The sequence below is a fragment of the Homo sapiens genome, chromosome 17, assembly GCF_000001405.40.
Source record: "Homo sapiens chromosome 17, GRCh38.p14 Primary Assembly".
Classification (NCBI taxonomy): domain Eukaryota; kingdom Metazoa; phylum Chordata; class Mammalia; order Primates; family Hominidae; genus Homo; species Homo sapiens.
Window position 1 is genome coordinate 66,357,325 of NC_000017.11, and position 25,211 is coordinate 66,382,535.

At 42.0% G+C, this 25,211-nt stretch overlaps 1 protein-coding gene and 1 pseudogene across 8 annotated transcripts in view, besides 2 other annotated features; both read left to right on the forward strand.

Moving 5' to 3' along the window:
• The window catches only part of PRKCA (protein kinase C alpha), a 508,131-nt gene that overhangs the window by 54,712 nt on the left and 428,208 nt on the right, over positions 1-25,211 (forward strand). The window lies entirely within an intron of this gene.
• Positions 3,143-3,643: an enhancer, noted in NCBI's record as "H3K4me1 hESC enhancer chr17:64356585-64357085 (GRCh37/hg19 assembly coordinates)". NCBI's record gives its function as "activates a minimal SCP1, AML or CMV promoter by ChIP-STARR-seq in naive H9 embryonic stem cells {active_cell/tissue: H9 hESC(naive)}" and the evidence as "EXISTENCE:reporter gene assay evidence [ECO:0000049][PMID:30033119]".
• On the forward strand, positions 6,705-6,995 carry RN7SL735P (RNA, 7SL, cytoplasmic 735, pseudogene; annotated as a pseudogene).
• Positions 22,273-22,473: a silencer, noted in NCBI's record as "peak2943 fragment used in MPRA reporter construct". NCBI's record gives its function as "represses an SCP1 promoter by STARR-seq MPRAs in K562 erythroleukemia cells {active_cell/tissue: K562}" and the evidence as "EXISTENCE:reporter gene assay evidence [ECO:0000049][PMID:32103011]".

Genomic DNA, 25,211 nt, shown 5'->3' on the forward strand with positions numbered 1-25,211 from the left:
TACTATTATACTTTTTAATGGCAATGAGCTGTAGATACAAAGCCAGCTTTGAGTTGTTAAGAATAATGAGGTCTGTCCTGACAGTACAGGCAGCAGAGGCATAAGCAAATAAATCCCAATGTATTATAATATGCAATTTTATATTTAGACTTCGAATGCATTATGATCATTATAAAAAATGTCTATTTCTAATTCTGTTAAGGAAGATGGTATAGCAGTAGGGGCTTTGGAATTACAACAGGGTTGAATACTGGCGCTACTTGTTAGCTGTGGTTTTTGGATAAGTAATTTAACTTTTCCTGGCAGAGTTTTCTCGTTTATAAAATAGAAATAATACTACCTTTCTCATAGGAGTTTGTGCTTATTAAATGAGAGGTAATGTATGTGTGATTCATGGTGTATGTTTGGTAGATGATGATTATCATGAATAACTAGTAAAGTAAGTAATGTGATTTAAGTTATGTTATTAGAAGTCCCACTGAATGCCGTGTCAATAGGAACACAGACTCATACTAGTTTGGAAGGGAAATCTGGCTCGGATTCTAAACGGTACCTTGGAAGTGCAGATGGACAACAGAATGATTGGAGATGAGTGCCTTGGTAAGCCAGTTCTTTCTGGTGAACTTGGAAGCAGAGAAAAGAGTAACAAAAATTATGGAATTTAATTATATTAATTAGAATTATATGATGATTATAATAGAATTGCCTTTTGTTCTGGAGTTAACATTTTATAACTTTATAATTAGATCTCTTGAACATTTGAAAAGTTCAATAAGTACTTGTTTGTGTCATATTAGTCTATTCTAATTGATACACATGCACATAGAGCACAATTTTTTTTTTTTAAGCCCAAAAAGTTTATTAGCGTTGGGATGGGATTTGACGCACTGAGGTTTTCCCTGGACAAGATTCTTACCTTCTTTGAGGGCTGAGTTTAAATAGTTATTCCCAGGAGGGCAGAGGAACTCTTCCGTTGTAATTGAATAATAAGTGTCATTCTTGGGTACCAGATAAACTTAACTGATCACTTAATTGATGCTTTGAATGGCTGCATAATGTGTAAGTCCTTAGAAGCCAGAGATGAGATTTGTTCATATTTTGCCCTTCTAGTACCTAGAAGGTACTTTGCACATGGTAATGAATACATGTGTGAATTAATAGATGGTAATCTATTACACTCTACCCATTTCCTTTCTCAAAGATTCAAGCCTAAGGCTAACATGATATTGAGAAGAAGAAACGTAACTACCTTGCTGTTGACAGTGTAGCAGCAAATGTAATAATGTGTGGAACTTCAGGGTTTCTTGTTCATTCGGTGGTCAGCATACAAAACATGCGTCAGTACCTTTTTTCTTGTCCTCTTAAAATTTTATTTCTTTACCCCCAGAGTGATGTTGGCACATTTGCTCTGCTGAAATGATTTCAAGAGCTCTTCATTGCTGATTCATTTAATGATTACTGTCCAAATGGCCCCACTCCCACAAGGAAAAGTGTCTCCACATTAACAAGCACTTTCTTCTGCTTGATTTCTATGGTTACATACGTTGTGTCACTTTGAGGAGTTGGAAATAAATTTAACAGGATATTAGGATGAGAGTACCTTTAAAAAAAAGTTCTGCTAAGGAAGTGTTTCATCCTGGTGAATAATGAAATCAGGTTAAAATTTGTCTTAAATTAATAATGACTTTCGACGTAGTCCTTGTTCTCACATTTCATGGGCTGATTGCTTTTTTATTTTAGCTGAGGTCATGTTAAAACCAAAATAAAGTTATTTGAAAATCTAGTGCAAAATTTTATTTTTCTATCAATTTGTGATTCCCAGAGCAAATTTGGGGAGAGCCAAGTAAATTAAAAAGTGAATTTAGGTGATGTTAAGTCTAAGATAGCCCTCAATAAAGATCTTCTCAGAAAATTCTTGAGTGGCACCAACTTTTGTCACTAATAGCCCACAGACACGCGTCACTTTAATTCTTTGAAAACCTACACTCAACAGAAATGATAAACTTATAAATGATTTTGCAATCTGCTGCCGGTTTCTTAAAAAAAATTATCAGTTTCTTAGTTTATTCTGAACTGGATTTGATACACAGAAAACTGGTTTTCCTGCCTGCTTAGGAATATATCACATCATGTAATAAGCCTCTCAGAGATGTAGCATTGAGCAGATTAAGGCCTCATTTATAGAAGAATTCCACCCTGGCCATGTGGGCCTGAAACTCTGGAGGGCTTTAACAATGTCTTGAGGTCATTGTCATTTAAAGAGATGACTCAGTGGTTTTATTTAGTAGAAATAAATACTAAATAAATAATCTCCACAGATTATCCAGAGGGGTAAGTTGAAGGATGTTGACAGATAACTCAGTAAATTGCGTCTCAAATATTAATAAGTTTATTCTATGCCAGCACCAAAAATATTTCAGAGATGCTTTTAGGCTTCTCTCAAGTATGTCGGGAACAGAAAAGGATTATAGAAATATTTATAGTAGGCATAAACTTGCACAAAAGCTCAAAGTACCTTAAGCAAGCTTGTTGCAATTATTCTTTTGGAGAACTGGATTAAGTAATTATTTCTTGTTGCCTCTGACTATTTAACCTCCTACTAAACTGCCCATTGTTTAAATGTCTCTTATTTAGCTCTGTTTTTATCACTCCTTAAATTTAATATTCTCAAGGCCAAAATTATAGCAGTGATGGTCAGGACATCTTTGAAGACAATTAGATTCTGAGAGGATAATTTATATGTAGAATTAGGAATATTCATATCACTCAGAAGTATCATAAAAACCATTCTTTCACAATAACTTTTCCACTCAAACATCGCCGAACTTGATTACCAAGACCCTAACTGTATTTCACTTCTTTGCAGTATTTGAAGTTGGAGGGAAGGGCTTCCACAGCTGAAGAGTTTGGCTAAACCATGGGACCCTTTCACATTGGCTGAGGGGGTGACAGTGGGTATTGATCCAAGCCAGCCCGCCCTTACTTGGTTGGAACTCTGTTTTAGTACTTGGGGGTGACAGGGGAAAGGCCTGGAGAGCATCAGTCCTCCATGAGTCTTAGCTGCTCCACGAGAAAAATACTCACTGTTTTCTCATAGGCATTGCCACAGTATTCTCTGACGAGTGTTTAGCAGGCATGGCCTGGTCTGGGAAAGTCCTCTATTCCTTGGCCCTGCCTGGAAGTTGTGGTGCGGGGAGGCCATGGATTGGAAGAAACCCTAAGGTGGATATCCGAAGGGCTCTTAAATGTTGCTTGTGGCAGCTGGGAACAGGGATACTAATGAGGAAGGACAAGCTCTTCGATTTCAGGTGGTTCAGGAGCCTCAGGCAGGAGTCAGATTTAAGGGATAAGTGGTTCCTATTTTCAGTATCTCTCCTCCACAGGTCTTTATGGAAAATCTTAAAACCCACTCTTGTCATCCGAACTGGATAATGCAGGTTCTTGGCCCTTCCAGTGCTACATTGAACCAAGGGTTCAGAAACAATTGAGCGGTGGGTGGTCAGTTCCAAAGTGGCGCTTAGAGGAAGTCTCGAAGTGAAGAGGGAGGTTTAGGGAATGAGTTTGGAGTCGTGTTTTCATTTCTTTTGGTTGAAGGAATTTAAGAGTATCGTCTTTATCTGGTTTTATGTATTGCTTTTCTTTTTGTTTGGGGTAGGTGATTAAAAATAGAAAAGTGGGGAAAGAGACAAATTTAGCCTTCAACAAGCTCTCGGTGATCTGTGACCATATTGTTTTCACTGAAGATTATTTACAACATGATGCGGCCTTGGTTGCTGCTGAGCTGGCTTCAGGGCAGTAGATAGGAAGGATGTTTCCAAGGAAAACTACTCTGAATGAACTTGTCCTTGGGTATGTGAGTAACTGATATCAACCAAACCAAATGTCAATAAGTCATTCATTGTGAATCATCCTTTTTCGGTCTTGACACTGCACGTACCAGATCAGTTGATCTCTCTCCTTTGTAAGTCTTTCAAAAGACGCATACATTAGATTTTTTTTTTTTTTAGGACAGGGTCTCGCTCTGTTGCCCAGGCTGGAGTGCAGTGGTGTGACCCTGGCTCACTGTTACCTCCGCTTCCTGGGTTCAAGCAATTCTCCTGCCTCAGTCTCTCGAGTAGCTGGGATTACAGGCACCCGCCACCACGCCTGGCTAATTTTTGTATTTTAGTAGAGATGAGGTTTCACCATATTGGCCAGGCTGATCTTGAACTCCTGACCTCAAGTGATCCATCCGCCTCGGCCTCCCAAAATGCTAGGATTATAGGTGTGAGCCACTGCGCCAGCCCATACATTGGATTTTATTTTCCTCCAACAGCGTGGACTCTACCCAGTCTTCCTGGTTCTGGTTTTCCAATAGTTTTCTTTTCTTGAAGGTGGTCACTGTTTCTTAAATGTTTATAGATTTACTTTAGCTTTCCATTAAGAAATCAAGTAAATCAGATGTACTTGTCCTAATGTAGTAATATAGATAATAAAATTGTTAGTGGTTAATATTTCCTGAACATGTTCTCTGCGTCAGGCACCAATCTAAGTGGGACTTGGCTCAGTTTCCACAAAGCCCCATGGAATCTGGTTTACAGAGAACAATGTGAGAGTGTCTGTTTCCCCACAGCCTTGCTATAGAGGCCATGGTATCATCTAGTGACAATTTTCATCACCTGCTCTATTAAGCCACTTGCGTGTTCTAGAAGGGGTTGAGCTCTTTCTTTCTTTCTTTCTTTCTTTTTTGATACGGAGTTTCGCTCTTGTTGCCCAGGCCAGAGTGCAGTGGCACCATCTTGTCTCACTGCAACCTCTGCCTCCCGGGTTCAAGCGATTCTCCTGCCTCAGTCTCCTGAGTAGCTGGAATTACAGGCATGCGCCACCACACTGGAGTAACTTTTTGTATTTTTAGTAGAGACTGGGTTTCATCATGTTGGCCAGACTGGTCTTGAACTCCAGACCTCAGGTGATCCACCCACCTTGGCCTCTCAAAGTGCAGGGGATTACAGGCATGAGCCACCACCATGCCCAGCTGGGTTGAGCTCTTTCTCACCTGTACCTTTTAGTGCCACTTCCTCTGAGCAGACTCTCCCACTCTTTAGCCTTCCTGATGCCTCTTGGCTCTCCAGGCTGGGTGTCATCTGTCCTCTGCTCAATTGTCCCACGATTTCCAATGTTCAATGTTATAATTGCCTGGTGGTTGTTGGATGCCTTCACTGGATCCTGAGCTCCTTAAGGTTGAGATAAGTCTCACTTTTGTGTCTCATGGGCCTGGGACACAGGAGATAACAGGTGAAGTCTGTTGATCTTACCTGATGGGGAAATGTATTTTTTCTGTCTCCCTCAACTAGTGAGGTGCCTTGCAGGTTTTTTTTTTTTTTTCCTCTTTGTTTTTTAATTTTTTGAGACAGAGTCTCAGTCTATATAGCCCAGGCTGGAGTGCAGTCGTGCGATCTTGGCTCACTGCGACCTCTGCCTCCCAGGTTCAAGCAATTCTTATGCCTCAGTCAGCCGAGTAGTTGGGATTACAGGCATGTGCCGCCATGCCAGGCTAATTTTTGTATTTTAGTAGAGATGGGATTTTGCCATGTTGTCCAGGCTGGTCTCAAACTCCTGGCCTCAGGGGATCCACCCGCCTCAGCCTCCCGAAGTGTTGAGATTACAGGTGTGAGCCACTGTGCCTGGCTGCCTTGCGGGCTTTTAGGCACCTCAATGTCTAGTTTTGTCAGAATAGCATCCTAGAGGTCTTAGAAATCTTACCTGTTGGAGAAAGTTTTAAAGTGCCCCAAACATCCCAGCAGTTGTACATCCTTTCACTCACACTAAAATTCATCCTGTTTTGCTTTCACAGGTATGTACATTTTGATGAAAAGACACTGCAAAGATGAGCACCAGCTAGCCAAATTGTGTAGTAAACATTGCATGTCTATCTGTGTGTGTTTTATTGTTTTGTTATTTTATTTAGTCAACCCTTTTGTTATTTTACCATAAGTTCATTTACACAGGGTAATCTTCTCCCATTACAGTTGCATGGAAGGAATCTTAGAGGAAACAGTTACTGATTTTCTTAGTGTGAGACCAGAAAAATGAAGCGTTGGTATTGGCCTTGGGGATTTGCTGTCCTTTATCCTCGGTAAAGCAAACCAGCCATCCGAATGTAAAGGCAGCTCCTTTCTTTCCATAAGTAATAAGTCATGATTTCTTAATGAGGCAAATTATCTATCATTTAGTGAATTCATAGTATTTGTTACAAGTAAATTCATTAAGAAAGAGCGCTATTCCAATAAAGCCAATTTAATTACGCAGACAATTAAGGGGCATCTTCCATGTGCTCTGCACTGTGCTAGCCACGGGGTGGATATAGAAATGGACAAACTAGGGATGGGCTTATTTATTTATTTATTTGTTTGTTTTGAGACGGAGTCTCACCCTGTCACCCAGGCTGGAGTGCAGTGGCACGATCTTGGCTCACTGCAACCTCTGCCTCCCGGGTTCAAACGATTCTTCTGCCTCAGCCTCCCGAGTACCTGGGACTACAGGCGCGTGCCACCATGCCTGGCTAATTTTTGTATTTTTAGTAGAGATGGGGTTTCAGCATATTGGCCAGGCTGGTCTGAAACTCCTGACCTTGTGATCTGCCTGCCTTGGCCTCCCAAATTGCTGGGATTACAGGCATGAGTCACCGTGCCTGGCCTGGAATGGGCTTTTTAAAGGAGATTATAGCCAAGGGCAGTGGTGTGCACCTGTAGTCCCAGCTACTCAGGAGGCTGAGGCAGGAGGATCACTTGAGCTCAGGAGCACTGAGCTGTAGTGCACTGTGCCAGTTGAGTGCACTAAGTTTGGCATCAATATGGTGACCTCCCAGGAGTCGGGGACCACCAGGTTGCCTGAGGGAGGTGTGAACCTACCCAGGTCAGAACTGGAGCAGATCAAGACTCCCATGCTGATCAGTAGTGGGATCTCACCTGTGAATAGCCACTGCACTCCAGCCTGACCAACATAGACCCCATCTCAATCAATCAGTAAATTCATTTATTCATTCATAGGAATCACAGACAAGGGAGTCACTTACCATAAAAAATATACAAAATAAATGACTCCAGAGGCATAAAACCAAAGGGGTTTTGTGCCAAAAAATAGGAATCAAGGAAGTAACATTTGAATTTGATCTTAGGGAATGGATGTACCTTAAACAAGTAGCCCTGTATGGAGAAGAGGAGAGAGGGAACGATAATGAAGAACAGAGACGTGGAGGCCGGAAGATGCCAGCTCTACCAGAAAAAGTAGCAAAAGTCAATGTGATTGAAGTAGGGGGAGTGCGGGAGCAGGGAGGGTGTGATTGATGCCTGGCAGCTGCCCGTAACGTATGATGCAGTATGGTTTTCGCCTGATTTGGGGTTTCCAGTTCTCCCTGGCTGCTGACGGGGCTCCCTCAGGCACACATTAATGGATTCACTCAGCCAGTGATTTTTCTGTTTTCTCTTTCATTTCCACTTTTCTATCCCATCATGGTTTTCTGCATAACCCCATCTGATTTTAGACCAATTTTGATGTGATTTTTTTCTTCTACGTGAGTGGCTCAGTGAAGGCTTTCGAATACTATTTTCCCACTTGCATACTGTTTCAGAACTGAAGAAGGTAAAATCTAATTGTACCAGGTTTTTGAAAAGCAGTAGTTTCCATTGTATGTGTTTAAAAAGTCCCCAAAGGTCTATCTGTAAGAATCTTTGAAAAGACACATTGCAGCCCAAACCTTAGGAGAAAAGAAAAAGGGGACTTCACATTGTAAAAGCAGCATTTATCTTTGCATCTTGAAGTTCCTAGAATAGGCTCTCGCCTTTATAAGTGGAGTTTTCTTGTGGCTTTTGTGGGGAGAATTCACTAGAATTAGGGCAGATTTTCTGGAAAGTCCCGAAATTCAGTGTTCTGTTGGATTTCTGGCATCTATTGAGCAAGACAGTTGGGATAATGAGTCTTGGTATTAAATGTATTCTACGGGAGGGAGGAGAGAGAAGTGGGAGGAAGGTGTATCCGTCTTGCTGGCTTCCTGCAGCTTAAGTAGGAGGAAGAAAAGGAGAGGGTGTGAGTAGATGACCCAAGCCCTGGACTAAGCCCTTTAGGTACATGATCTCATTTAATCCCCTTTTCAGAGGAAACTGCCTGAGATATGTTTGACCCAGGCTTTGTGCTCTTAGCCACTAAATGGCTTCCCTTTACTGATGATTTTACTCTGCCTTTATCCTATAGTTACTTATAGGCAGCTATATTTACTTCCTCCAAATAGATTAACTCTTTGTATACTCTTTGGTACCTGGAATAAGTCCTGTGTAATCCTAAACGCTCAATAAATATTTCTTAAAATGAAGATAATTCTCCTTGACAGAAAATTGATCTTACTGAGCATATATCCACTGAGAAAACAGACGTATGAATGTTTAATACTCCCTGATTATCGTATGCTTTCTTATTTAAGCAGAAGTATTAAACGCATGCCAAAGGCTCACATAAATGATTTATTATGCACCAATTAACGTTATCTGAGCCATGGTTTTTCTTTGTTGTTATGAATTGAGCATTGACAGCAAGGCAGCACTCATTTACCTTTTGTTTCTATGCAGAAAACATTTCAAATAGGCAACTGTTGTCTCTCCTGAGTAGTCTGAGAAATGTGAATGGAGACATTTGTATTAGGTGTCCATCTCGTGACCAATATGCTTTGTACTTTTGAAGTTTGCTTTATCCTTAAGATTGTGAGAACTGTAAATCTGCCACTGGAACCATCCCTGCAGATTGTCATAATGTGATCAGCTCTAAAAAGCTTCCTGCTTTTTAGAGTGTGTACCCTTAAGGATAACAATCATATAGATAACCTTTTAGATGTCAACACAGGCGATCTTTTTATGTGTTTTATTCATGATGCAATTTACAGTACTTAAAGGAAAAAAAATCCAGAAGCCTTACAAGGTCTTTAATAAGTACAAATATAGATTGCTATAGGTAGAAAGTATGCTTTAAAGCAAACTTTTTTACACCATTTTCTGAGGCTTTTATTAATTACTCTGTTTTCCAGCGAGGCTTTTTCATAGGGATATGCACCTGACTAACTTATTAAAAGTAAATTGCCTTTGTGGTCTTATTTTCAGGGCGTGGTGCTGAAGTTAGAAGGCGATTGGGCAGTTTTGTTTTCTACAGAGAAAACACAATCTGGGAAGAGATCTTAATTGACCTATTAGCTGAATTGAGGAGATGAATTAGTTGTAGAAAATTTGTCAAAGTTAAATAATAGCAGTGAGTTTGAAGGGGTGAGCTAGCAGAACTAGAAGAGAAAGGAGAATGAGAAGTAACTCACAGGCCAGCTGCATAATGGGTAGAGCGAGCTATAGGTGAACTGTGAGTAGCTGGCTTGCTCTGTTGGCTGAATTCCTTGAAAAGAAAGGATGAGACATTTTTACTCCAGTAAATCTTATGTGTATCTCTTGTGGATTGAAGAAATTATTGACTCAATATGATTTAAGTTAGAGACAAAGCACACTCACAAAATTCCAAAATCAGTCTTTTAAAAAAAGCACTTCATAGTGAGCAAATTTTAAATTAAATCATCATCTAAATTGTGACATGCATTGAGAGGAACAGGTGAGGTTTTTACTCCACGTTGGTCTCCATGTAACAATAATTTTCATGTCAAAATGATCTTTTCAGGTTTTCAGGTTGCCCTCTTCCCCTCTCCTTTCTGTTTTCAGATAATTGGATGAAAGTAAAATCTTTTGAAAACATTGCTTTCAGCGTGCCAAAAGCAAGGCATTTATAACTGGCCTCAATTTGCAAACAATTTAGGAGTTTGATAAGTTTCTAACAGGACCATGGTGAGTTCACAAAATCTGATTTCTTTAATGGAAACAAAAAGTGTGCTTTGTGGAAGTTGATGTTAGGAATTACAAAGAAACCCACTGTTCAGCACAAGTGCGCAGGCCTTTGGCCAAGAATTCCTCAGCTTGGAACCTGAGCTAAGAAAAAGCCCCTGGTCACACCTGTGGATAAAAGACTTAGTGAGAGCTGGGAGGACAGGTGAAAAATGATGGTTTGGAAGCCAGAGACTGTTAAATAGAAGTGACAGAGGTGAGAGAGGTATCCAGGAAAAGCCACTGCTGTACCTAAAACAGTAGTTAAAAGGAATTAAAAATGTAAAGTCTTAGACGTTTGGAACTCTGCTATTTCTGTACCTTTCTAAATGATCTTCTCAGCCCTTCAGAGTCTGTTACACTGTTGCATTCTAAAAGATGGTCTTGATAGTAAATGGGGTAAAATGGTCTCATCAGGTCTATTTTTCTCTCCTGGTTAAATGTCTACTTAGGTTAAATAAAAGCTGTCCTGTTGTAGTCAAAACAATTAGTTCCTGGCCTCATAAGACCAGGTTTGAATCTGAGCTGTGTTTTTGCTGGCTTTATGGTATTGGGCAAGTTGGCAATGTTCAACTTAATTATGTCTTCTCATTTGCTAAATGGATACCAATTTATGAGACTATGCTCACAAACCTAAAGTGAACAGGTGAAAGACCCTCTGCAAAATAGCTGCTCAATAAACTGTTGCATGCTAATCCTAAATAAGCACTTAAGAGGTATCAGTTACAATGAATTCCCTGTGTTTATAAAATAACTTACAGGTGCAGTTCCTCTTCATAGGGAGTAACATGAATGAGTAACATCACATCACCATACTGTTCTGAGAGGTACTTGGCAGATTGGTCAATACTGTGAACTCAGAACTCCAACCGTGGGATCCCAGCCATCCATTCAGTGGCATTTCTACCAGAACATCTGTGTAAGAGATTGAAGGTTAATTTTGGCAATTCTTACCTTGTACAGAATTCTGTGCATTTTAAGTTAAATTACTGTAGGTGATTGGGGATTTTGAAAATCTAGGCTCAATTGTTGACAATTCCAGTGACCTTTGGTCTGGAGCAAATCCCTTAGCCTATATATATACACACATATATGTGTGTGTGTGTGTGTTTATCTATATGTGTGTGTATATATGTGTGTGTGTGTGTGTGTGTATATGTATATATATATATATATATATATTTTTTTTTTTTTTTTTTTTTTTTTGGAGACAGGGTCTCTGTCACCCAGGCTGGAGTGCAGTGGTGCGATCTCGACTCAAGGCAACCTCCATCTCCCAGGCTCAAGTGATCCTCCCACCTCAGCCTCCTGAGTAGCTGGGACTACAGGCATACACCACCACATCCGGCTAATTTTTGTATTTTTTTGTAGAGACGGGATTGCGCTATGTTGTCCAGGCTGGTCTCGAACTCCTGAGCTCAAGTAATCTGCCCACCCCAGCCTCCCAAAGTGCTGAGATTACAGGCATAAGCCACCATGCCTGGTCTCTTAGCCTGCATATTTCATGTTTCTCGTTCATAATATAAAGACAGAAAAGGTGCTTCCTATGGGAAGATAGATGTGGACACAATTTCACAAATTAAGTTTTATACAAATGTAAAGTACTGCAATTCATGTTGACCTCTCAGCTTAGTTGGTTTTAGAGTAAAGGGGTTAGCTAGAGGCCTGAGTCTTGCTCCCTGGCCTGGCCCAAATTACCTGACCCAGGAGACATCTCAACCTCTCTAGCTTTTAGTTTCGTAATCTGTAGATCGTGAGGGGGGTTGACTCCATGATTCCGTGAGCTTTCTTCTCAAGCATCTCATTCTAGAATATTCCATCGGTCCTTTTCTGTCACCTTCTTCCCAAGTGGTTGTGAAAGGGTGGCTTGTAGGCATTAGGCCAGAGCTGTGTGTTAGCCATAATTCAGATAATACAGCTTATAATTCAGCTTGTGTTGATCAGAAACTCTGCCTAAGGGAAGGCCCAGGTAAAACCTGTAAAGTCCTGGAGTTTCATCACAGATGATGCTATTGCAGAGCCTCCAAGATTTTGCCTCTTTTTTATGAGCTTTGGTGACTACCCCAGCCTAATGAGGTCCAAGATATCCCAGTACTTCCACGGGAGGATCATGTGAAGATTGCTGTCTGGTTCCAAAATTCCCTCCTAAAACAGCAAGGGTGGCACCTGGGGAGGAGGAGGGACCTGGGGGAGGAGGAGGGACCTGTGAGAGGGGTATCAGTGATTCTGCAGGTGATTCCTCCTCTTCCTGTCCTCTTATTAAAATTCCCTGAGGCTGACTTCAGCTAGATGTTGATCAGATTAAAGCAGTTGGTGCTGGGATGGATTAATAAGCTTGAAATTTTTTAACTTGGATGCCTTGAGGTACTTATTTCATCCCCAAGCATTTTCCATCTCTATCCCAACTAGTCCAGTAAAACCTGTGGCATTGCTGAGCAATAAGCAATGCACCTGCCCGTTTTCACTATTGGATCTGGCTCTGTCCACTCTTTTCTGGGAGAACAGAGGGGATGGGTGGCGTGATGGCCCACTGAGTGCTGGGCTTCTCCATCCTCCATCTGAGTTGGCTGCATTCCTGTCCCAGGTGTCCTCTGCCTCTGTTGAGCCCCTGCCACTGCTACCTCCAAGTGTCCTTCCTTCCCTCCACATGCAGAATGGAGCTTTCCATCCCCAAAGAACTCGAGCAGCCTGTTTGCATCACTGCCAGGAGACCTGTTTGGTACTGCCAAGCACTGCAGGTATTTCTAGCTCAGTTGTCTTATCATTAGGGTGAACATATTTATCCTCTAAACCAGGACACTTTTGAAAGTGAAGGGAGGAGAGCCATTAATAATTAAGCTGGGACAACAGTCATAAACCAGGATTGTCTGGGCAGACTCAAACATGTGGTCGCCCTACTTGTTCCCTGTACTTGATGGAAGCCTTCCTGACGGTAAGGACAGTCCTTCCACATCCCCTCAACCTCCACAGTGGCACAGACATAATTATATTGAATGAAGCGATAAATAAAGCTATTTTGATACTTTTTTTTTTTTTTTTTTTTTGAGATGGAGTCTTGCTCTGTCGCCCAGGCTGGAGTGCAGTGGCATGATCTCGGCTTACTGCAACCTCTGCCTCCCGGGTTCAAGCAATTTTCCTGCCTCAGCCTCTGGAGTAGCTGGGACTACGGGTGCACACCACCATAGCTGGCTATTTTGATAAGCTTTAATGACAGGGATGGCGAACAGTGGTTAACAGTTAGTGAGGCATTGCCAGGTGCAGTATGTGAGGTCAGCACTTTGTATAATTATTTAATCTTCACAATAGCGCTATAGATTTGATACTATTTTTTTTCTTTTCTTTTCTTTTTTTTTTTTTTTTTTTTGAGACAGGGTCTCACTCTGTCGCCCAAGATGCGTGTAGTGGTGTGATCATAGGTCACTGCAACCTGGAACTCCCAGGCTCAAGCAATCCTTCCACCTCAGACTCCCAAGTAGCTGGGACTACAGGTGCATGCCACCATGCCCGGCTAACATTTTATGTTTTGTAGAGACGGGGTCTCATTATGTTGCCCAGGCTGGTCTTGAACTCCTGGACTCAAGCGATCCACCACTGCCCATCCTATTTTTCTGTTTTTCAGAGAAGAATATTGATGCCTAGAGAAGTTAAGTTGCTTGAGAGCAGAGAGTAAGCAGCAAAGCTAGGGTTCAAACCCAGAGTGTAATCTCATAGGTGCTGTATTATACAGATAAGCTAGATGCAGGGGCAGGCTGGTTTGTAAGAGGGCATGTTGCCTGTAGCATTTCTCCTTAGTGAATCTCCGAAACAAATCACATCCTGTTTATTTCCAACAAAAGAGAACAAATTTGGGATTATATCTGATTATAGCATGCGAGTAGCAAATAAGATATGATGTATGTATTTTTGCAGTTTTTTCTTTCCAAGTTCCCCCATCTTTGGCCAAAATATCACATTTTAAACCAATGAAGAGTTAAATCTAGAGTTAATCACTTAGCATCAGCAGTGCAGCCAGAATTCTCATCTCCTGATTCTAAAACTGCCTGACCCTACCCTGGAGTCACTGATCAGGTTGAGAGGAGTTCAGAATGAAGAGAGAATTGTTTCAACCACCTGTTCTGCATGAGAGCCTTTCACCATTTTCTGTGTGTTTGTGAAATGACCATTCTGAAGTTCAGATCCACATATAAGACTCATTCAAAATGATCTTCCTCAATGGAAACCGGGGGTGAGATTTGAACCTGAGAGAGACAGTCTGCTCTGGTTGATGAACAGCATAGCTCTGGACCCAGACTGCCTGGGTTTACATCTCAGCTCTGCCACTTCTAACTTTGTGATTCAGGCAAATTATTTAACTCCCAGTTTTTTTATCTGTAACATGGGGATAATAACAGCATAAGAGCACTAGCCACACTGGATGGCTATAAGATTGAAATCAATTACTATGTGTAAAAATCTTAGAATAGGGCCTGGCATAAAGCGACACTGTGACTGTTTTATCTGTAATATATATGTTGCTTTTTAAAGGCCACTAGGTGATACATTAGAGCAGGCAGGGTGCCATCGAATGACCCAACCCTTTGTCATCTGGCAATATTGCCTAAAATCCAGACGGTGGATTTTCACCTTCAAAGTGGTTCTTTGGGCACAAGGCAAGTCTTCCGAAACTCCCTACTTGATGCCTGGCGTATTATAGGCGTCTCATATTTTTTGTTAAATTGAACTGAAAAATTGAAGCGCTTTGTATCTAAACAAATGTAGAAAAGTGAGACGCTGTATCCAGGGTCTGAAGTTGAAAAGATTTAAAATGTGGATGGAAACTTCAGGGATGGGGGTTGCATGGGATGTTTGTAATTACTTATGGATGATATGAAGATAGTACCTGCTGTATTTTACCATGTATATGAGTCTCGTGGGGACTTCATTTAAAAATGTGTCTTCTGCATCTGAGATCCTGACTCAGGAGGTCTAGATGGGACCCAGGAATCTGCACTGACACAGGCGGTCTGTGAACCAGACTTGGAGAAACACTATTTTAGTCCAGCGTCTTGGATGCATGAGCTTATAGTTCCTTGACAATGGCAAAATTAGAAGTCTAACTGAAATCACCTACAAGATGTGCATGTATTACATATACCATTGGAGACACCCACTCGGAGTTTTCTTATTGAGAGAACATTTCAGTTTTGATTTCATAGGTAATTGGGCGGTACTGATGAATCACTAGGTTTTTTTTAAATGTAAGCAGTGATACATCCACAAACACTTTCCTGAGAGGTGATAGTCTCACGCAAAATTTAAGAAACTTTTATTCTTGGCTTAATCTTTGTGACTGTATTTTGTGTTATGTGTATTCTTTATTTTGAGACATCCTGAAATCCTTAAATTTTGCTCATTTTCTTAAAAGCCAAATCCCACATAACTATGTAAGTATATTCTTTTTCAGCAGTTTTCTCTGGGGAGTTTCCTAAATAAATGAATTGAATGGGGGAGCCATGATGAATGGGTCAGTATGCTCATTGCAGTGCCATCTCTTAAAGGGATAAACTGGCAGCAATCTAAAAGGGCAACAGGCCAGGCGCAGTGGCTCGCACCTGTAATCCCAGTACTTTGGGAAGCCGAGGCAGGCAGATCACTTGAGGTCAGGAATTCGAGACCAGCCTGCCCAACACGGTGAAAACCCTGCCTCTACTAAAATACAAAAATTAGCCGGGCTTGGTGGCGGGCACCTATAATCCCAGCTACTTGGGAGGCTGAGTTCCAGCAGAATTGCTGGAACCTGGGAGGTGGAGGTTGCAGTGAGTCAAGATTGCGCCACTGCACTCCAGCCTGGGTGACAGAGTGAGACTCCTTCTCAAAAAAGAGGGGAACAAAGGGAGAGAGATTGATTTATGGCTCACATGCATAATAAATATACCTAACAATTAACTATGAAAATGTAGTGTATTTGCTGTCATGAAAAGATGTTTGATAATCATCTTTTATGTAAGTGAACAAGCATGTTAAAGAACACATTGTAAAAAAATATCATAATACAGCCAGTATTTACTGAGTACTTGCTATGTGGTGGACACTTGGAACGCATTATCTCATTTAATCCTCCCGTAAACCTGTGTGTTTAAAGTACTATTATCTGTATTTTCTGATGAGAGACTTGTGGCCCAGAGAGGGTAAGTGACTTGTCCAAGGTCGTACAGCCTGTAAATGTTCCCCAAAAGCCCATGTACTTTCTTCACTGTCATGCATTACTGCACCTGGGGCAGTAGCTACACACTTTGTTTAAAGGGCCTGTATGAATACCCCAAAATATTCATGATATCGATTCAAGTTGTAGGAGTTTGGTGATTTGATTAATTTTTCTTTCTGCTTCCCTGCATTTTCTTTTTTCTTCCAACAGCCAGTTATTAAGTCAACCAACAAATAATTCTAATGGCTTCCTAAATGTAGAAAGTTGGTTAATTTTGGTATTGCTTTTGCCATTCAGGGATTTACATAGGGACAATCACAGAGATGCTAAACCAGTTAACCTTTGTAGGAAAGCGGCCATTAAAACCCTCCCTCCTGTTTTCACGATCACTTTCATCCTAAAATCGGGTAGATTACCTCTGCGTTTGTAACATCTTCAGTATTCAAGGCTTGGATGTAGGAGAGAAGCCAGTTTAAATGGTCCTCACTTGTTTAGCACCTACTTATCACCCCGGGAGCCCTTAGAGTTAATAAGGAGCCCAGTGCACCGGTGATCAGCTACTTTATTTCCAGAAGTGGGATGTGGGGGCCCTGCTGCTGCAGTGGGGGTTTGAGGGCAGCTGTTCACCTGGGTGCATGTCCTGGATCTCATGTTGGGGGCGGCAGTGCTCCCCTGGAAGGGGATGAGCCAGGGAGGAGTCCGCAAGGGAGGATGGGCCAGGGAGGGAGGGCTCTGAAGCACACCCTTGCTCCCTGGGCAGGGTCTGCATCCAGGGCTCCTTCCTTCCGCCTGGAGCTTTCCCATGAATCCTTCCTCCACCACCTCCTCAACTAGCACCTCCAGCTCGCCCCGCCTGACCCAGCTCCCTCAGCCCATGTGTCCCCGCTTTGCCAGCTCTTCTGTGTGCTAAGTGGCACGGACTGCTGTCTGTGGCTTCAGTCCCCGGTGGGGGAGCGCTGGGGTGTTCCGCCTCCTAAGAGACTGTTGGTTGAGGGCCCGCATATCTGTTTCTGGGTTTGGTGCTATCAAGGTCACACGGGTGTCGCCCCAGACTCCTCTGCTGCTTACAGGGCCTCATGCTGGCGTCACCATGGCATCAGCCCAGCCTAGTGGAGACTTGCTATCTGATTTCCATCATCCTCCATTCCCCTTTGCACCGCAGCCCCCTGAATTAATTAAGCAAGCAAGCAAACAATCAAGTCTTGTTCGACACTGTTAAAGGGAGCAGGCTTCCTGGTCTGTGGGGAGCTGCAGGGGAGGGATGTGATGACTTAATTACAACTGCCACTTGACTGAGTGTCTGCTAAGTGCAGGGTGCTGAGTTGCATTCTTTTTTTTTTTTTTTTTTTTCTTTCTGAGACACGGTCTTGCTCTGTCGTCCAGGCTGGAGCACAGTGGCTTGATCTTGGCTCACTGCAACCTCTGCTTCCTGGGTTCAAGCAGTTCTCATGTGTCAGTCTCCCGAGTAGCTGGGACTACAGGCACTTGCCACCATGCCTGGCCAATTTTTTATTTGTATTTTTAGTAGAGATGGGATTTCACCATGCTGCCCAGGGTGGTCTCAAACTCCTGGCCTCAAGAAATCTGCCCGCCTTGGCCTCTCGAAGTGCTGGGATTACAGGCATGAGACACCGCACCCGGCCTTAGTTGCATTCTTTATTCTGTTGAATCTTTATCCTTTCTGCATGGTATGCAGCCTTGAGGGGGGTAATAGCTTAATGGGAGAATTTATAGTTTTACCTGTATATTCGGTGGAAGATTTCAGGTGAGCAGAAGTTCTGGGAGGATTAAGCGTCGAGGGAGATCTTGAGAATGAACACAGTTGAAAATGAAATCAGTCCAGTTGTAAGTAATAAGTGATCGAGGAAAAGGAAGTTCCTTCACCTGGTTAATGAATATTTATTGCCTGTCACCCGGAAAAACCCTGGTCTCAGAAGACTTAAGGGTACCGGGTTTGTACAACAGGCAGCTTTTGCATTGGACTTGCTGGCTGAAGCCAGATACCTACATGGGCTGTATAGTGATGGATGCTTCATTCTTCCTTGGTCTGCTTGGTTGGAAGTGGAGTCGATGGTGCTTCTAGCTGATCCCCTTACCTCTGAATTTTGTCCCGGTAGCTGGTGACTCCTTGGTGAAGTCAGTTTAAGTCTCTGGGAAAAGCATCCCATGCATATCATATTCCAAATGTTCTGTGTAAGCCCCAGGTTTCTTTCACAGGCCTTGTGTTATTAGAGTTCTGGGGGCAGTTCTTGAGGGCATGTGTCTTTTCTGCCAATATTTAAAATAGTTGTTGGCTTTAGGCTTGTTTTACACTTCAGGTCATCTACAAAGGAAATGTTAATTTGGGGGAAAAGAGATGCAATGAAGAGATAAATATATAAAGATACAGAGGCTCATAAACACTCTGGTTCACAGCTCCTGGCCAGCCCTGTCCATAGGAGCCATATGGACCCGGCATGTGGCTTAATCCTCGTAAGCCTGGGTCCCTCAGACAACTGTGAAGGGGGATATTGCTACCTGCTTGCTAACATGCTGAGCTGTGAAGATAACTGAGGTCATGGATAATGAAGTGCTGGGCACTTGCAAAACATGATTTACAATCTCAGCAAAGACTTCATTGTTTATTCAGTATATATTTATTGACTTCCTTCTGTGTGCTGGGTACAGAGCCACATACCAGCTCTCCTTGGAGTGTAGTCCCTGGGCAGGAAGCTTCAGCCTGATGGAAACACTGTTTCCTAGGTTTCCTGGGCCCTGCTGAAGCCGGCTGCATCAGAATCTTCAGGAATCAGTGTTTAACCACCCTCCCCTGACTGATACCTAGTCATGTTTGAGAAGGCCCCCTGGCACAGTAGGAGAGGTTCAGAGACAAGCTAACTGCTATGGGCGAGGCTGGCACAGGCAGTGGAAGGTGGTAGTAAAAGAACAGGTGGTCTGGCCTGGCGCGGTGGCTCACGCCTGTAATCCCAGCACTTTGGGAGACCAAGGCGGGTGGATCACCTGAGGTCAGGAGTTCAAGACCGGGCTGGCCAACATGGTAAAACCCCATCTCTTCTAAAACTACAAAAATTATCTGGGCATGGTGGTGGGCGCCTGTAAGTCCAGCTACTTGGGAGGCTGAGGCAGGAGAATCGCTTGAACCTGGGAGGCAGAGACTGCACAGAGGCTGCAGTGAGCCGAGATCATGCCACTGCACTTCAGCCTGGGTGACAGAGCGAGACTCTGTCTCAAAAAAAAAAAAATTGAATAGGTCGTCTGCTGGGTGAGGACCCCTCCACCCCAGCTCTCATCCCCTGGCCCGAGGGTTGGAGCACTAGACTTCATGTACCAGTTCAGGATATGCATATCTGGGGAGCCGTCCTGGGCATCGGCATCTGGGAGAGGGGGTGAGGATGGGTGGGGGTCCCCATGTAAGTCCTTTCTTCAGGTTGTGGCTTCTGCATAGCTCCTTGTTGTGTGGACCTGTGAGTACACACCCTGGAAAGGCAAGTCAAGGCCTCCTCTCTGCTGGTTTCAAGTGGTGGAGAAGCCCTGCATGACTGAGGCAGAGAAGATGCTGGAAACTGTGGCACCAAACCACCTCAGAGCTTGAGTTCAGTCCCCTGCAAAATCCCAAAGCCTCCGGATTTATTTATTTATTTATTTATTTATTTGAGATGGAGTTTCACTCTTGTCGCCCAGGCTGGAATGCAATGGCATGATCTCAGCTCACTGCAACCTCTGCCTTCCAGGTTCAAGCGATTTTCCTGCCTCAGCCTCCCAAGTAGCTGGAATTACAGGTGTGTGCCACCACGCCCAGCTAATTTTGTATTTTTAGTAGAGATGGGGTTTTGCCATGTTGGCCAGGCTGGGCTCGAACTCTTGACCTCAGGTGATCCTCCTGCCTCAGCCTTCCAAAGTGCTGGGATTACAGGCATGAGTCGCTGTGTCAGGCCCCAAAGCCTCAGGATTTTAGAGCGTTGTCAATCCCCTTACTCTCTTGGCCACCTCAGAAAACCAAGAAACAGGAATTTACTTGTCCCAGGTCTATCTGGGGCTGAGCTAATGCAGAGCCTAGGTACACAGCTGCTTTTATATATATAGATATACGTGTATATATATACATGTATACATGTATATACGTATATATGTATATATATAATGCCTATATTATGTATATATAATGCCTATATTACATATATAATATCTATATTACATATATGTCTATATTTTATATATATAATGTCTATATTATATATATGTCTATATTATATATATAATGTCTATATTATATATATAAAATGTCTATTATATATATATAAAGTCTATGTTTTATATATATATATATATATATTTTTTTTTTTTTTTTTTTTTGAGGCAGGACCTCACTCTGTCTCCCAGGCTGCAGGTTGCTAATTAATTTTTTTCTTTTAATAGAGACAGATTCTCACTACATTGCCCAGGCTGGTCTTGAACTCCTGGCCTCAAGTGATCCTCCCCCTTCAACCTCCCAAAGTACTGGGATTAGGCATGAGCCCCTATCCCTGGCCTGCTGCTTATTATTGTCATTACTGTTCATCATGGTTTACTGTGAATGGATAAAAGGGAAAGTTAAGAACCATTGATGGGCACATTATATTGTACCCCACATGTTAATATAAAGGTTCTTCTAGGCTGGGTGTGGTGGCTTACGCCTGTAATCCCAGCACTTTGGGAGGCCCAAGTGGGTGGATCACCTGAGGTGAGGAGTTCGAGACCAGCCTGGGCAACATGGCAAAACCCTGTCTCTACTAAAAATACAAAAATTAGCTGGCTGTGGTGGCGTGTGCCTGTAGTCTCAGCTACTCAGGAGGCTGAGGCAGGAGAATCGCTTGAACCTGGAAGGCAGTGAGCTGAGATTGGGCCACTACACTCCAGCCTGGGCGACAGAGCGAGACTCTGTATCAAAAAAATGTTCTTCTGATTTTTTTCCCTCTATCACATATGCCATTTAAAATATAAGGGATATATGGAGGTATGATTCATGTATCATAAAATTCACCATTTTGGTGGTTTTTTAGTATTCACGGAATTGAATGACTATTAATACCATCTACTTTGGAACATTTTTGTCACTCCAGAAAGAAACCCCAGACCCCTTAGCAATCACTGTCTATTCTCCCTCTCTGTAGCCCCTGGCAACCATGAATCTACTTTCTGTCTCTTTGAATTTGCCTAGTTTGTACACTTCATATAAATGTAATTGAGCAGGCTGGGCGTAAAGTCTCACGCCTGTAATCCTAGCACTTTGGGAGACCAAGGCGGGCAAATCATTGAGGCCAGGAGTTCAAGACTGTCCTGTCCAACATGGTGTGAAACCCGGTCTCTACTAAAAATACAAAAATTAGCCTGGCGTGGTGGCACATGGCTGTAATCCCAGCTACTTGGGAGGGTGAGGCAGGAGAAATGCTTGAACTCAGGAGGCAGAGGTTGCAGTGAGCCAAGATCACACCACTACACTCCAACCTAAGCGACAGAGCGAGACTCCATCTCAAAAAAAAAAAAAAAGTAATGATATAATATGTGGCTTTTACTGTCTGGCTTCTTTCACTTAGCATTACATTTTTAAGGTTCATTTATACTGCAGAATGAATCAGTACTTCACCCCTTTTTATGGCTTAATAGTAATTGATTTTATTTATCAGTTGGTAGACAGTTGAGTTGTTTATACTTTGACTATTATGAACAGTGCTGCTGTGAACATTCAGTTGTGCATGAGTTTTTTTGTGGACGTGTGTGTTCATTCCTCTCGGGTATATACCTAGGACTGAAATTGCTGGATCATATGTTAATTCTGTGGTTAACATTTTAAGGAATTGCCAAGCTGTTTTCCAAAGAAGCGGCCCCATTTTACAATCCTACCAGCAGTATGGTAGAGTTCATGTTTCTCCACATCTTCACCAACATTTATTGTTCATCCTTTTTATTTAGTCAGCCTGGTAAGACCAATGATGCTGAGCATCTTTTCATGTGCTTATCAGCCATATGTGTTTTGGAGAAATGTTTCTTCATATTCTTTGCCCATTGTTTAATTGGGTTGTCTTTTTATTGTTGAGTTGGAAGAGTTATTTATATATTCTAAACATGAATCCCTTTATCAGGTACAGGATTTGCAGATAATTTTCTCCTATTCTGTGAGTTGTCTTTTAGTGATGCCCTTTGAAGCTTCACTAATTGTAATTTTGTAAGGAACAAATGTAAATTTTATACCAGGCTGCACTTTTTGCCTGTTCGGTTTTGGATTTTCTTATTGTTGGTATCATTCATGAAAGACTTAGCAGCATTTCATTGGTTAAAGCTAACTTCAATTTTGAGGAAGTCCAGTTTGTCTTTTTTTGGGAGGTCGGTCACTTATGCTTTTGGCGTCATAGCCAAGAAACCATTGCCAAATCTAAGGTCATGGATATTCCTTTGTTCCAAGAATTTTAAAGTGTTAGCAACTACACTTAGGTCTGTGATCTTTTCGAGTTAATTTTTGAGGTCTAATTTCTATTAAAAGTGATCTTTAGTCAAGGATATTGAAGTATAAAGCTAAAAAAAAAATAGCCTTGATTTTTCTAAAATGGACTGTGATACTCAGCTCTGTCCTGTCAATTACTAGTCACAGGATGCTAAAATTATAGGTTTAGTTTTTTAAGGGAATAAATAAATGCCTCAATCTCAAATTAATTTTGCTCTGAAATTGAGCTGACTACTAAGACGAGATCCAATTTAGGAAGTGTTTTGACATTACCCCCAGTGAGCAATTTGAGAAGCACATAAGCAAAAATAAGAAAGCATTCATGTGGGCTGCTTCATAGGGTTTTTTTTTTTTTAAGTGTTGTATTCAACCTTATGAGAAACACTTGAAAGTATGCAACTTGATTGTCTGCCCATACATACATATGTTCGGATGTGTAGGTACAATTTCTGTAGTTTTACTCAGGGAGTAAGTGATGTATCTCCTCAGGTTCCTAATAATTCCCTTTTCAAAAATGAATAAAATAATATTAGATACCTCATGGGGTTCTTGTGAGGATTAGAAAAGTTTATTAAAAGGGTTGGAATAAACCTGCCACTTAGTAAATGCTTATAAACTGCTTACTGTTATTAAGTATTCCATTTATTTATCCTGCTATTTCCAGTACATTTTAGCCACCAGCATAATCAGTACTTCTCACTTAATGTTAAATACTGCTATATTTTTGAATTATTGTATAAATATATGCTAATTATGATTTTTGCCTGCAGTAAAGGAATAATAAACAGTTCTCATGAATAACTTAAGTCTAATAATGTTTTTATTGTTTTATAACATATTTTTCATCTAATTGTAATTACTTAAATTCAGAAAAGCAATTGTAGAACTGGGTAGCAGAGTGTTTTGGTGTGTTACTTGTCCTGAATCACGATAGTTTAACCAATGAAATGATGCTAGATCTTCTGTGAATGCACCCAAAATAAAAAGCAAAACCAAATGGGCAAAAATACAGTCTCATATAAGATTTACATTTGTTCCTTATAAAGAATCTAAGGTATTTTTATTTTTTATTTTTCTTTTTTTTTTTTTGGAGACAGGGTCTCTTTCTGTCACTCACGCTAGAGTACAGTGGCACCATCATAGCTCACTGTAGCCTTGAACTCCTGGGCTCAAGAGATCCTCTTGCTTCAGCCTCCAGAATAGCAGGGACTACAGGTGCAAGCCACCACGCCCAGCTAAGTTTTATATTTTTTTTGTAGAGCTGGGGTCTCGCTATGTTGGCTGGGCTGGTCTCAAACTCTTGGCCTCAAGCAGTCCCCCTGCCTCGGCCTCCCAAAGTGCTGGGATTACAAGTGTGAGCCACTGTGCCTGGCCAGGTGTCTACTTTCTCTCCCAGACCAAACAGGAGAAAAGTTCTGAATTTGAAAGGGAAACTCATGGAGCATTTTGAAGATAGCTTTAGGCCAATTATGAGTCAGTTTTTCTAGCTTGGAGTTCAAGGAGCAAAGACGGTTTGTTTGGATGGATGACCTGTGGAAGGACTAAATCCACCTGGTGGAAGGTTCAGGATGACAACCCCATGGACATCCAGGTAGAAATGAAATGACCACTGGGCATCAGCATGAGAGGGAGGGCCATGAAGTTTAAATTTGAGAGGAGGAGAAGGATTGGACAATCAAGGTTGTAAAGGTAGCTTGAGGCCAGTTTGGACTTCATTCCATATCTTGCTCTATTCTACAAGGAGTCAGATTTGCCTATGAATGTACTTATGTAGCATGGAGCAGCAAAATAGATGTGGATTTGCTAACACATAAAGCTAAAATTTAATAGACCATCCCCACTGTCTTCCAGGTTTTCAATTTTACTGCCCTGCTTGCTGGCTTCTAAGAAATAGTTTAGCTTCTTTTACCATCACTTTTTAGACATTCTGTGATTTCTCTCTGACCTGTTGTTTCCAAAGCAACAGCATGTGGCCAGTCAAAATAGGATTTCACTCTTGTTTGTGGAGCTCTGTAGTAATTAGGAAAGGATTCGAAACTCCATTTGAAACGGAGGCTGGTAATACAATGATGTGTTGGATGTTTCTCAGTGGAGAATAAGGTGCTCCAAAACCATGGCAGCAAAATACTAAATGTTGTGAGAGAGATGGTGATGTCTTCCTCTGTTTGTCACCATTATGGGAAACTTTTAGATGTGGATTAACTTTGCACAGATGGAGCGGTGCAAGGCAAGGAAGGTTATCCTGGGGGAGCTGCTTTGGTGGAGAAAACCTGGTGTCCTGCCAAACCTTGGCCTTCAGAGTGACCCTAGGGCTGGTCTTCCACATTGTGGAAGAGACAGACCTGCTAGTCTTGTGATCTCTACTCGGGGGCAATGCACTGAAGAGAAATGCTTTTAGTTTTGAGTAAAGAGATAGTCATTAAATATTGGCTTCAGCTATTATTTATTTATTTAGACAGAGTCTCACTCTGTTGCCCAGGCTGGAGTGCAGTGGCACAATCTCAGCTCACTGCAACTTCACCTCCCAGGCTTAAGCGATTCTCCTGCCTCAGTCTCCCGAGTAGCCGGGACTACAGGCGCGTGCCACCATGCCCGGCTGATATTTGTATTTTTAGTAGAGATGGGGTTTCACCATGTCAGCCAGGCTGGTCTTGAACTCCTGACCTCA